This window comes from Homo sapiens, chromosome 17, assembly GCF_000001405.40.
Source record: "Homo sapiens chromosome 17, GRCh38.p14 Primary Assembly".
NCBI classification, from domain to species: domain Eukaryota; kingdom Metazoa; phylum Chordata; class Mammalia; order Primates; family Hominidae; genus Homo; species Homo sapiens.
This window is the reverse complement of record NC_000017.11, coordinates 40,273,272-40,287,180: the sequence shown is the minus strand read 5'-3', so window position 1 is coordinate 40,287,180 and position 13,909 is coordinate 40,273,272. Positions and strand designations below refer to the sequence as shown.

The 13,909-nt window shown below is 45.8% G+C and overlaps 1 protein-coding gene across 9 annotated transcripts in view, besides 2 other annotated features; it reads right to left on the bottom strand.

Annotated features, from left to right (window-relative positions):
* WIPF2 (WAS/WASL interacting protein family member 2) overlaps positions 3,045 to 13,909 on the bottom strand; it is a 64,833-nt gene continuing 53,968 nt past the window's right edge. For all 9 annotated transcript variants that reach the window (XM_005257083.3, XM_047435499.1, XM_047435500.1 and 6 more), the window contains 3 exons: positions 13,182 to 13,391; positions 9,997 to 10,098; positions 3,045 to 8,996 (listed from right to left, as the gene is read on the bottom strand). In XM_005257083.3, coding sequence (XP_005257140.1) covers positions 8,956 to 8,996; positions 9,997 to 10,098; positions 13,182 to 13,391 — 353 coding nt within the window. In that variant the 3' untranslated portion in view covers positions 3,045 to 8,955. The remainder of the gene's footprint in view (positions 8,997 to 9,996; positions 10,099 to 13,181; positions 13,392 to 13,909) is intronic.
* Positions 4,264 to 5,198: an enhancer, noted in NCBI's record as "OCT4-NANOG-H3K27ac hESC enhancer chr17:38438235-38439169 (GRCh37/hg19 assembly coordinates)". NCBI's record gives its function as "activates a minimal SCP1, AML or CMV promoter by ChIP-STARR-seq in primed H9 embryonic stem cells {active_cell/tissue: H9 hESC(primed)}" and the evidence as "EXISTENCE:reporter gene assay evidence [ECO:0000049][PMID:30033119]".
* Positions 5,199 to 6,135: an enhancer, noted in NCBI's record as "OCT4-NANOG-H3K27ac hESC enhancer chr17:38437298-38438234 (GRCh37/hg19 assembly coordinates)". NCBI's record gives its function as "activates a minimal SCP1, AML or CMV promoter by ChIP-STARR-seq in primed H9 embryonic stem cells {active_cell/tissue: H9 hESC(primed)}" and the evidence as "EXISTENCE:reporter gene assay evidence [ECO:0000049][PMID:30033119]".

Genomic DNA, 13,909 nt, shown 5'->3' with positions numbered 1-13,909 from the left:
AACCTAAGAATATTATGTTCTGTGCATCTTCTTACCATTAATCCACACATCATGGGGAGGGAATTATGACCCCTTAATTTTAAAATCTTTTATGGCGAAACACTAGGGTTTCAGGGCCAGGGAAGACAGCTATATAGAAGAGGCAAGCTGAGTTTTTAATGAAAAATATAAATTAGCGCAGTAATTTGAAGGCCAGCTTCCAAAGCCAATAATTCATCTAAGCCTCAGGTTCCTTTAGAGGCCAGAACCCAATTCTAGGTGATGGTAAACATTTATCTTTTACCCCTCAGTAACAAACAAAATAGAGCCATAAAGCCTAGAAAGAGGGAAGCAACAATATTACGATCATCAGTGAATTGGTACCTAGTTCATGAAGAGAGCCAATATTGAGTGCTTAAGTGTATGCCAGGGGCTGTGCTCAGTATTTTACCTACATCACCTTATTAATCTTCACAAGCACCCCCATGAACCTGGTGTTATTTCACTTTACAAATGAGGGAACTACAGTAGAGGGGAGTTGAGTAAACTTGCCCAAGGTCACACAACTAGTAAGTGGAAGAGCTAGAATTTGAACTCTGAACTCTGACAGAAAATCAAACTCTTGACCACTTTATCATAGGGGGATGATTAGACAGATTCAGGTTCTAAACAGGAAGAGATGGTGGAGTACATTTCGTGAAGGCTTTTTAGCAGCTGAAAACTACAAAAGTGAAGAGAATGGGCTGCCATGAATGGAGAAAGTTACCACACAATGGAAGCTTTTTTTTTTTTTATTTTTGAGACAAGTCTCATTTTATCACCCAGGCTTGAGTGCCGTGCCATGATCTCGGCTCACTGCAATCTCCACCACCTGGGTTCAAGCCATTCTCCTGCCTCAGCCTCCTGAGTAGCCGGGACTACAGGCACGCGTCACCACGCCTGGCTAATATTTGAATTTTTAGTAGAGGGGTTTCACCATGTTGGCCAGGTTGGTCTCAAACTCCTGACTTCATGATCCACCCACCTCAGCCTCCCACAGTGCTGGGATTACAGGCATGAACCACCGCTCTTGGCCACAGTGGAAGCTTTTAAAAGGACTAGATGGTATTTCTGATGTCTTAGTAGGATAGTAGAACTCAGGAAGCAACCTTCACTGTTCGTATTTTTATAACATGGGCACCTAAGAATTGCCCTTAATAACCTGAAATGGTAATGTGTGCCCAGCCAGCTGTAAGGGGTGGTTATGGTAAACAACCTAGGAAGCTATGAGTACTTAGCATGCATATTGGAACCTATGAAAACACCAGGAAATGGCTGGGTGCGGTGGCTCACGCCTGTAATCCCAGCACTTTGGGAGGCTGAGGCGGGTGGATCACGAGGTCAGGAAATCGAGACCATCCTGGCTAACACGGTGAAACCCCGTCTCTACTAAAATACAAAAAAATTAGCCAGGCGTGGTGGCGGGTGCCTATAGTCCCAGCCACTCAGAAGGCTGCGGCGGGAGAATGGTGTGAACCCGGGAGGTGGAGCTTGCAGTGAGTGGAGATCACGCCACGCCACTGCACTCCGGCCTGGGCGACAAAGCGAGACTCCGCCTCAAAAAAAAAAGAAAAGAAGACACTAGGAAACATAGCAGTGGCCCAAGAAAAGCCTACAGGTGTAAATGACCACTGTGGAAGCAGGCAAATAATCACAGAATGTCAGGACTGAAAGGTTATCTACTTGAAGCTTTTCCTTTGCACTAATAATGATCCTCCAGTAACGTGATGCGTACACATCATATTGTTTCTTGCTTCTGTGCCTTTGTTTTTGCTGTTTCCTCTGTCTGGAATGCCACTAACCATCCATCTTCCCTGGCTAACTCCCATAAAGCCTTTTAATATCCTGCATAGGTTTCTCCTGGTAGCTATCCTGAAGTCTACTAAACTATGAGTTCCTTGGAGTCAAAGACCATGTCTTAGCCTTGCACAGTGGCATGCATCTGTAATTCCAGCTACTCGGGAGGCTGAGGTGGGAGGATCCCTTGAGCCCAGTTTGAGGACAGCCTGGACAACATAGGGAGACCCATTTCCAAGTTGGAAAAAAAAAAAAAAGACTTTTTATTTGGAGTCTCGCTCTGTCGCCCAGGCTGGAGTGCAGTGGCACAATCTCAGCTCACTGCAACCTCCACCCAACCGGGTTCAAGCAACTCTCCTGCCTCAGCCTCCTGAGTAGCTGGGATTACAGGCGCCCATAATTTTAGTAGACGGGGTTTCACCATATTGGACAGACTGGTCTCAAACTCCTGACCTCAGGTGATCCACCTGCCTCAGCCTCCCAAAGTGCTGGGATTACAGGCGTGAGCCACCGCGCCCGGCAAAAACAGACTTTTCATCTTCATATTGTAGATGCCTGGTACAGAGTAAAGTGTACAATAAGAGCTTGCTGAATGAAGGAATGGAAAGGACATTCTTGCCAAGTGGACATCCACCCTTTGCATAAACACTTGTGGCTGGAGAGCATACAGTCTTTTAAGTCTCACACCCCTAAGCCTAGGAATGGAGAATGAATTCAATTATGTGTGAAAATGATCCAGACTGGGCTCCAGTGATGTCAGAGGCAAAGCATTTCCCCAGTTGTCCTCTGGGGCAGTCAGAATCCTGAGGCTGACATATTTCTAGTTCTAATTCATTTTCCATAGTTCCTTTACCTCTCTTTGCAGAGTACTAGGAAGTTGGAGACAGGCAGCTTTCTTCCAGTGGGTCGTTTAGTTCATGGTTAGATTGGGTTGGGAAATACTTAAGAGGTACATTCATGGCAAGCAGCTCTGCCTCAGTAATGGAAGGAAAACTAGTGTCCTTATCACCTGCTAACTCATACACAGTATCATGGAGAAGGAATCAAATCACACTGGAAGAACCTGTCTGGCATCCTTTTGTGTGACTGTGTGTGTAGACACACACACACACACACACACACACACTAGCAATACCATCACAAGAAGACAGAATGAATTATAGGGTTAGGAAGTCGAAGGTCATTTAGGCAAGCTCCATTTGCAGGCTATTTCAAGTCAGGAGGAACAATTCAATCAATAAATAGGTAGTTTATTAACCATATTAATAACAATGATGGGTCAAATAATCGGAGATTCAGCCCATCTGGGAAGTACGGATGAAAATGAAAGGAGTCCTTTTTTTTCTTCCCCTCCCTCCCTCATCCTCATAGGTTTTTATATCTAAATTATGTGAGAGTGATTCATACACACACCCATTATGAATCAGTAAGAGAAATAACTTCAAGACCTTTGCTAGTGATGAAAGTGCAAGTTAAGCTCATTAAGCCTTAGTGGTTATGATGTCAGCTGACCACAGTAAGGAGAGAATGTCTGGTTGAATTTTTACACCTAAAGTCAAAGTTCAAGAAAACCAGCTAAGATTCAGCTTAAAAAGCAGTGACGAAAAACAGCCAACACCCACATAAAAACAGATACACACATTCTGTATGCTTTGTCCCCACCCTTCTTTTCTTTAGCCTCAATCTGAGAATCTGCCATGCAACACAGGTAGAAAGAATTATAAGAGATTCAAGGAAAAGGTCACAAGGCCAGGAAGCCTCCTAGGTTCCCTGAAATCGTGGGCAAAGGGGAGTTAGGTGGAAATATAAAATAAGGACTGGCTGGGTGCGGTGGCTCATGCCTGTAATCCCAGCACTTTGAGAAGCTGAGGTGGGACAATCACTTAAGCCCAGGAATTTGAGACCAGTCTGGGCAACATAGGGAGACCCTGTCTTTACAAAAAAATTTTCAAAATTAGCCAGGCATAGTGGTACACACCTGTGGTCCCAGCTACACGGGAGGCTGAGGTGGGAGGATCACTTGAGCTTGAGAGTTGGAGGCTGCGGTGAGCTATGATCACACCACTGCACTCCAGCCTGGATGACAGCAACATCCTGTCTCAAAAAAAAATAATAATAATAATAAAATAAGGACCATCAGAATCTCCCAGGAAGGGTAACTAGAACTCTAGAATTTTTTTTTTTTTTTTTTTTTTTTTTTTTTTTTTTTTTTAGTGCAGTGGCATGATCTCAGCTCAGTGCAACCTCCGCCTCCTGGGTTCAAGTGATTTTCCTGCCTCGGCCTCCCGAGTAGCTGGGACTACAGGCATGCGCCATGACACCGGTTAATTTTTGTATTTTCAGTAGAGACGGGGTTTCACCATGTTGGCCAAGCTGGTCTTGAACTCCTGACCTCAAATGATCCACCCGCCTTGGCCTCCCAAAGTGCTGGGATTACAGACATGAGCCATCGCGCCCAGCCAACTAGAACTGTAATTTTCAAAATACAGCTGGAGAGGAGGAGAGAAGACCCTCAGAAAGCTATAGATGAGTCTGCCCAATTCAGTAGATCTACTTTTTCAAGGGACCTGGAATCAAACCACTACACTTACCCAAATTATGAGGCAAAGGTTTTCTCCCCTCTCTGTGCCACCACCTGAGGCGGTATTCCAGACAAGAGTACACAATTTTCACTTTTTGTTTTTAAGCAAGGTTTTAATTAAGCTGCATGGCATCCAGAAGAGAGAAATGTACCAAAGAATCCAACCTGAGACCAGATTATACATTTTAGAGGGGGGAAAAAATCAATGCTATTTGGGAGAGGGAGCACTGTAATCAGAATATAACTCCAAAATAAATCATACAATAAATTATTTTCTAAAAGAAATTGATCCACATGCAGACAGATGAACACACACACGCACACGCGTGCGCACGCACACGTGTCATTCTAGTCATTTATTCAGTGTTGACTGTGACTTCCATGGAGGGCACCATGAGAAAGGAAAAGATTAGACATGTGAAAAGAAGGCTAGGCCCCATCTTGCCACCAGTGGAATGAGATTTAAGACCACTAGAGAAGGAACCCACTAAATTGCCAGAAACAAGAGTAGAAAGAAACAGCAGTTATCAAGGAAGATTTTAATTGCTTCAAAGAGGGAAAGGAAGAAAGCACAGAAATCTAATGCAAGTAAAGGCACAATGAATGTGGAGTTGAATGGAACCAAACCCTTCCTTCGGTTAAAGTTATCCTTTTTTTTTTTTTTTTTTTTTTTGCGTGTGGTTTTGATGGTGGTTGTAGTTTTGTTTCGTTTTGTTTTTAAGAGATGAGTCTTGAAGGCAGAGTTGTAATGGCCCTCCTCTCTCCCCTCCCATTCCCGAAATTAGGGTAGCTTAACAGAAAGCCACCTTGACCACATGGCCAGGGACTGAGATTCAATGGGGAAAGAAAGACTGTAGCTGGAATGTGAAGAATTTGATTTGCAGTTGATTGCAGGTTGGGTTTCCGGAAGGGCAGACAGCTCAATGTAGTGCCATCATAGGGCCTCAGATGCCCACACTCCACCCCCAGAGCTTCACAAAATGGAAGGACCCTGGAGTCACCCTTCTCCCCCACCCCCATAAGCACTCAGCCTACAGATTATTTCAAGTGATCAGGAGAATTAAAACACACCCCAACCCTGAGTTGCTCTTTAGCAAGTCTATTTACAATTTTTTTCTCACCTCTCCCTGGAGGTAAATCTGGGTTTCAAGTTGGGAAGCCATGGGGTGAGGGAGTTCCCCAGTGCAATGGCCGATGACGAGTATCCTTGCCACTGCCAGTTAACAGGGCTGGGATGAGCTCCTGTAGACAGCAGCCTCACATCCATCAGCTAGGGTAGCCCTAGGTTCTCACTCTGTTGGCCTACGCTGTGAAAATGATGGGGCTCTGCAGTGGAGCAAATCCCCATGACAGAGAAAATCACACCTGGAATATCAAAGTGCTTTGGTCCAGGTTCAGTGACCAGAGAAGAGGAAGAGGGGCATCTAGCTCATTTAAAAACCTGGAGGTTTGCCCTGCTTCCCAGACAGGGCAGTAAGAAACAACTATAACGTTTTTCCCATTAGGGAAAAACATCACAAAACCAAACCCATAGAAGGGCTTTTAACACAGCTTCCTGATGCTTAGCTGGGCAATGTCTCTTCCTTCTGTGGGGGGACAAGGGAGTTAATGGGACTGGGCAACAGCCTCAACATGAGACCACCCAATCTTCCACGAAAGAGACGACATTCCCACAAGCAGATAAAAAGAGCAGTTTAAAAGGTGAGGAGTTTTAGTGCTCTTGTAGCCAGCCCACCTTAAACCTAAATTAGAAGCTTTTTACAACATACAAAATAGACTGATAACTATGCAGATCACATTCCCATCTTCAATAGTAAATATACATAGTAATAAATCTATTATTAACAGTGGGACCAAATAACATATAAGGCAGACATTTAAACAGGTGTTGTATCATCAACATGCTCTAAAAAAAACTCATCTGACTAGATCTAGACCCAGGCCTTTTTGCATGAGGCCAAGACAACAAGTATACAATCAATACCCATGTGACACAGTCCAAGTGCTGGGGAATATGAGGGGGCAGTGGGCCATGGGGAGGAAGATATCAGCCCCAGTGAAAAGCTGGGGTTTGGCTTTACTCGTGATATTTTGATGCTCTATGTCTGAGTAAAGGAGGAAAAAAAAAAAAACACTTTGATAACGTACAAAAGGCATCGACTCCCATTTCAAAAATAAATGGGAAGACTTCACAGTCAAAGTTCAGTCACTTGTCAGTATCTGCCCTGGAACTCTGATGCAGTATCAACTCTTGTACTCTCTCCTTTTCCCTCCACTAGCATGCCCTCTCTCAGTTGTTTGGTTTGTTTGTTTTCTGAGATGGAGTTTCACTCTGTCACCCGGGCTGGAGCGCAGTGGCGCCATCTCCACTCACTGCAACCTCCACCTCCTGGATTCAAGCGATTCTCCTGCCTCAGCCTCCCCAGTAGCTGGGACTACAGGCACATGCCACCACGCCCAGATAATTTTTGTGTTTTTAGTGGAGACGGGGTTTCACCATGTTGGACAGGCTGGTCTCGAACTTCTGACCTCAGGTGATCCGCCCGCCTCGGCCTCCCAAATTGCTGAGATTACAGGCATAAGCCACAGCGCCCGGCAGTTCTGTTTGCTTCAGGATGCTAGGGATACTTCTGGGAGATAACTGCTAACAGATTAGAAAGAAGAATGATACATAAAAAATGATTAGGAAAAGTTTGGTGACAGACCTAATCATGGTCTGTCCCAGAGTTAATATGGTCCAGGGGATGGCAAAGGACAGCAGACCCCATACACATTACCCCCGTTGAGCCCTCCCTCACCTAGCACTGGGGAGACTTGGGTTTCACCTGGCACCATGCACAGATCCCTAGCCTGTGATCCAATCAACTGGAAAGGTCTCTAAGACAGTTTAAGCCTGTGATGTGTGTGATTAAATTTTTTTTTTTTTTTTTTTTTTGAGACGGAGTCTGGCTCTGTCGCCCAGGCTGGAGTGCAGTGGCGCAATCTCGTGATTAAATTTTTAAGCTAATTTTCCCCATCCATTTCAAAGAGTAGCCATGGTCTCCTTGCTCTCATGCCACGCTCTGAGCACCCTCTACACATAGCAACAGTTGTAGAAAACCAAAGCATCTGGTGTGTGGAGCCCAAGAGCCCCATCCTGCTGTCGGAAAAAAAGAAGTCCTCATCCAATCAGCTTCCTACCTAGACTGGGGACCTCCATTTTCTCTGTGCTCTTTAGGACCCGGAAGACAAAGAAACAACCTATGGCTGGCTGCCAAGGAAGATCTACTGAACTGAGGCAAATCTCAACAAAGTCTTTGTGCTTCCTGGCATAGAAGAGTATCTGAATATCTTCATAAGCCTCTGCTCACTTCTTCACCCTTCTGTACTCTGCTGTGTTAAACCGTGCAGTCCTGGGAAGGCAAGGGTGGTAGAGAAAGGAACAGGAAGAGTCTGCTCAGTCAGGTGGGCTGTGAACTTCAGTACAGGCAGGACTTAAAAGTCCTTTGCAGCCCCACAAAGCCAGCTCCTTCCATGAGGGGCTTCAACCTGCCCTTCTTTGTTATCCTGGAGCACCTTCCAGGGGCTGAAGGACAGAAAGAGCCACTGACAACTTCAGGGCCAGTCAGAAAAGACTGAGGCAGACACAAGATTGAGGTTAAGGCCCAGGCCCACGCCCTATCTTCCTATCTCCCACCAGAGGTTTTTGGGGTTTGTGAATCAGGAATGAATGATGCCCTCCACAAAAAGTGACTTTTCTTTCAAGGGCATGGGCGGTAAGGGGGAGGAAAAACATCCCTCAGCCTAGCACCCTGAAGCAGTGGGGTGAGGGGTCCCAGAGGGTTCAAATGGCTCCTGTTCCCTTTGCTGCAGAGAACTGACTAGTTCTAAAATGGTCTTCAGTTTATTTCACCCTTTCTTTTTATTAAATGTTAAGTTCAACTGATTAGTATTTAGTGTTTATATCCAATTTATCCCTGGGGTGGTGGGGTGGGGGGGCAGCAGGTGAGAACAAAAACAAAATACCCCCAAAAATAAAGCAGACCCAATTCCTTGCCCTTTCTCCAAATATGACCTTTAAAACAGATCACTTCTTGGCAAACTCCTTTCTTGCTTCACTAAAAATGCTCCCCTCCCACCCATAAGTCCTGGTCATGCCAGCCTCCTAAATGATGAAATATAATATACCTGCCAAGCTTCCCCCACAGTGGACAGGAGAAGGAAGGAGTACCATTCTCCACCCTGCCCTAACAGTGAGTTAATTCATCACAACAAGGCACCTTTCCCCAAGAGGAAGGCAGAAGACACGGAAACTTGTTCCTCATGTGGCTAGCAGGGCTTGCTGGAGGAAGGATGGATGCAGGGTTTGAGATCCTACTGTCAATATAGAGTCTGATCACCAAATCCAGAGATGAGATGCATAGATGGAGGTGAGCTGGGAGGACATTTGGAGTCTAGGGCTTGATTGCATTGGAGAAACATGTTAGGAGCTCTCATGCAGGTTTCAGGGGAATGGAAGGGACCATCTGAGAAGAAGAGAAGGTCCATCCTTTTCCTGAGGAACGGGACCAAGCCAGGCTTCACCTGAGAATGGGTGGCAGAGGTGGGGCTCCACGGGCAGCTGAAAAAAAACAAAATAAAGACCACACACATACAGGTCACCCACCAGAATCTGAACAACCCACACATTCCTAAAATGAGAGACAGGCTCTTTAAGCTAACCTTTAAAATCTGGGGACTACGTGTTATTATTGTTTTGCCTAAGAAAATGAAGATGAGTGGCCAGGCAAGGTGGCTCACGCCTGTAATCCCAGCACTTTGGGAGGCCGAGGCGGGCGGATCACCTGAGGTCAGGAGTTTCAGACCAGCCTGGCCAACCAGGCAAAACCCAGTCTCTACTAAAATTACAAAAATAATCCGGCATGGTGGCACACGCCTATAATCCTAGATACTTGGGAGGCTTAAGCAGGAGAATCACTTGAACCTGGGAGGCAGAGGTTTGGGGTGAGCCGAGATGGCACCACTGCACTCCAGCCTGGGTGACGATAGGGAGACCCTATCTCAAAAAAAAAAAAAAAAAAAGGACAACGAAGATGATGAGAAGCAATTTTTTTTCTTTTTTTTTGAGACGGAGTCTCCCTCTGTCACCCAGGCTGGAGTACAGTAGCGTGATCTTGGCTCACTGCAACCTCCGCCTCCTGGGTTTAAACAGTTCTCCTGCCTCAGCCTCCCGAGTAGCTGGGACTACAGGTGTGTGCCACCACGCCCAGCTAATCTTTTGTATTTTTAGTAGAGACGGGGTTTCACCGTGTTAGCTAGGATGGTCTTGATCTCCCGACCTCATGATCCGCCCACCTCAGCCTCCCAAAATGCTGGGATTATAGGCATAAGCCACCGCGCCCAGCCTAATTTTGTATTTTTAGTAGAGACAGGGTTTCATTATGTTGGTCAGGCTGGTCTCGAATTCCTGACCTCGTGATCCACCCACCTTGGCCTCCCAAAGTGCTGGGATTATAGGTATGAGCCACTGTGCCCAGCGAGAAGCAAATTTTAACCTAAGAAAATGCACAGATTCTACATTCTATGCAATTATGGAAAAACCTTCTTATTATTATTCTCACCTCGGTTTGTTTTGCTGGGATATATCCTCTGAAAGTGTTTATATTCTTCTGGAGCAGGAAAGTCTTCTACTGGATGGAAGGAATACTTTGACTCAAAATCATCTGCGAAAAGAATAGAACATTAATTCCTATCATCCTTGCTTGTGCTCCCACAGGCCTCTGATCGCTTCGACCCTCCCCACTTACTAATCTCTCAGGCATTCTGAGGTACTGTGAGGACCTACTGCCCCACCAAACCAACCACCCTGAGAACAGCAGCAGCATCACCCCACGTGCCTTGCATGCACAGAGCATGTATTCAAAACCTCTCTGTACTAAGTAGTGCGTCTTTGAGCCCATTCTTTATTTATTTATTTTTTGACAGTCTCGCTCTGTCACCCAGGCTGGAGTGCAGTGGTGCCCACCACCTCACCCGGCTAGTTTTCTGTATTTTTAGTAGAGACGGGGTTTCACCATCTTGGCCAGGCTAGTCTCAAACTCCTGTGCTCAGGCAATCTCCCCACCTGGCCTCCCAAAGTGCTGGGATTACAGGTGTGAACCACGCCTAGCCTGAGCTGATTCTTTAAACCTTTCCACCAAGTCAGGCACAGAACAGGAAAGGAGCTCAGTTGTTTGCATGGTAGCAGAAAGAAATATAATTCTTTTTTTTTTTTTTTTTTTTTTTGAGACGGAGTCTCACTCTGTTGCCCAGACTGGGGTGCGGTGGCATGATCTTGGCTCACTGCAACCTCCACCTCCCAAGTTCAAGCGATTCTCCTGCCCCAGCGTCCCTGAGATTACAGGCAGGCACCACCACACCTGGCTAATTTTTGTATTTTTAGTAGAGATAGGGTTTCACCATGTTGGCCAGGCTGGTCTTGAACTCCTGACCTCAGGTGATCCACCTGCCTCGGCCTCCCAAAGCGCTGGGATTACTGGCGTAAGCCACCAGGCCCAGCCAATTCTGGGTTTTAATAACATCTTACAGACTGTCACCACGGGAAAACAACTGATCTAAATCCAGAAATTGGTAGGAATTAATTTAAAATGGGAATATCTGTCTATGACTAGTGAGAGATTTGACCAGATGATTCCCTTTCAGTCCATGTTACCTTCACTTACATAGTTGGGACAGCCATCTCATGGCTTCTACTACTACTTTCTACAGCCCCTCCATCAGAAAGCTCAAATTTTCTGTAAGTGCGGCTTGATCACATCCCAAAGGTTTCTACAATAAGGATATATCTTTAAAGCAAAAACCCTGGCATACCTAATAGGAATAGACTAGAACATGGAGGACAGTGGGTAGGTAAGGACAGCAACCATTAAAGAATCTAGAAGCTGGGCATGGTGGCTCATGCCTGTAATCCCAGCACTTTGGGAGGCCAAGGTGGGTGGGTAGCTTGAGCCCAGGAGTTTGAGACCAGTCTGGGCAACATGGCAAAACCTCATCTCTACAAAAAAAATACAAAATTAGCCAGGCATGGTGGTGCACACCTGTGGTCCCAGCTACTTGGAAGGCTGAAGGATGGGAGGATTGCTTGAGCCTGGGAGGTCGAGACTGCGGTGAGCCGTGATTGCGCTACTGCACTCCAGCTTGGATGACAAAGCAAGACGCTATCTCAAAAAAAAAAAATCTAGAGTGTTAGGGTTGCAAGGGACCTTTCAGAGATTTCTTCCAAGGGTCCTCAACAGACGGGTCTAACAATAGCCTATGGACAACCTTTACTTAGGGTTACATCCCAGAACCAAGGAATCAGAATCTCTTAGGTAGAGCCCCCCCAACATTTATAATCTTGGAAAAGTTAATCTGATACACTTCTGATCTAGTCAACCTAATTTTACAAATAAGGGAAGTGAGGCCCAGAGAAGTAACGTGACTTCCTCAAAATAACACTGCTAGTTAGTGGCTTTGGATTAATGTGTGTAATGTTTTGGGTTTTGTTTTTTTTTTTTTTTTTTTTTGAGACGGAGTCTTGCTCTGTCACCCAGGCTGGAGTGCAGTGGCACAATCTTGGCTCACTGCAACCTCCACCTCCTGGGTTCAAGAGATTCTCCTGCCTCAGCCTTCTGAGTAGCTGGGATTATGGCTGCGTGCCATCATGCCCAGTTAATTTTTTATATTTTTAGTAGAGATGGGGTTTCACTATGTTAGCCAGGCTGGTCTCAAACTCCTGACCTCAGGTGATCCGCCTGCCTCGGCCTCCCAAAGTACTGCGATTACAGGCGTGAGCCACTGCACCCAGCCGACTTTTTTTTTTTTTTTTTTTTTTTGAGACAGATTCTCTCTCTGTCGCCCAGGCTGGGGTGCAGTGATGTGATCAATGGTTTGCTGCAGCCTCAACCTCCCTGGACTTAGGCAATCCTCCTGAGTAGCTGGAAACACAGGCGTGTGCCACCACACCCAGCTAATTTTTGTATTTTTTAGAGAGATGAAGTTCCACCATGTTGCCCAGGCTGGTCTTGAGTTCCTGGGCTAAAAGCAATCCTCCCACCTTGGCCTCCCAAAGTGCTGGGATTACAGGCATGAGCCACCACGCCCAATCCTTTTTTCTTTAATATTTTTTGTCATTCTTTCTTCTTTTTTCTTTCCAGGCAATGTGCCATGGGACTTTTCTTTTTTTTTTTTTTTTTTTTTTTTTTTTTTTCAAGAATTCCAAGGAAAGGCTGGATGTGATGGCTCACATGTGTAATCCCAGCACTTTGGGAGGCCAAGGTTGGAGGACTGCTTGAGACCAGGAGTTTGACAGCGGCCTGGGCAACAGAGACCCAGTCTCTATAAAAAATAATTAAAAAATAATAATTCCAAGAACAATCAAGTGTTTTGTTTTTGAAGAGCTAGAAAGGAACACTCCTTCCTAGGAGAATACATAAGTCCTGTCTGAATAATCCTAAAGAAGATACAGAGTCTCTGACCTAAAAGCTAGCTACAAAAAGTGATCTTTGGAGTGGATTTAGAGTTAGCACAACACTTGCTGATTTTACTTCAATCTACTCCAAAGCATCCATGCTTAGAATTCATATCAAGATAAGGAAGTCAATGAACACAGCCCATACCTCTGAGGATGAAGTCAGCAGGAGAACTATTGTGAACAAAGGATCCCATGTGGCCATTCCCACTCTATGGTGGCCATCTAGCAGCCATGGCACTGGAGTGGGTGAAGTCACCGCAGGAACCATGAGACTACAGATAGCTAGCTACTCACCCAAGAAAGACCGGACAGTGGTGATAGAATCTCTGTGGCCATTCCTCAGGGGCGGTGGAGGAGGAGGGGGTGGCCCAGCTGGCGTCCTTGAGGGTGGAGGTGGGGGCTTTCCTCGGCTCGGGGGTTCTGACCCATGCATTCGGTATGGTGGTGGGGGAGGGGGAGCATCCCTGGCACCATTTCGGATCACAGGTGGTGGGGGTGGAGGAGCTGCAATTAAAATCCAAAGTAGTTAGGTTTGGATGTGGAGACGGCAAGGGGTAGAATGACTTGAAACACATGAGCTAAAAGAGTAACACACCCCACAGAGGCTCACAGTGCCTGGTTCCCCTTTGTCCTTATTACTTGAACAGCATCACCATTCTTCCAGATACCAACATTCAGAATAAATGTATGGCCTTTTTACATTTCCTACCAGTCAGTCAGAACCCTATCTGTTCTTGATTTTTTTCCTGCTTTTCCATGCCTTCCTCCACAATTCTAATTCAGGTCTTCCTTATATTTAGCCTGTTCTCTACTGCAAAAGCCTTCCGAATGTTCTCCTTGCTTTGTCTCTTACCCCTCCAAATTCATTTTGCATAACACCAACTCACCAACCTCCCTAAAAACTTGATCCAGTTTTTTCAAAGGCTTTGCACTGCCTAAATCATAAAGTCTCAAACTGTGGCTGGGTGTGATGGCTCACGTCTATAATCCTAGCACTTTGGGAGGCCGAGGCGGGAGGATTG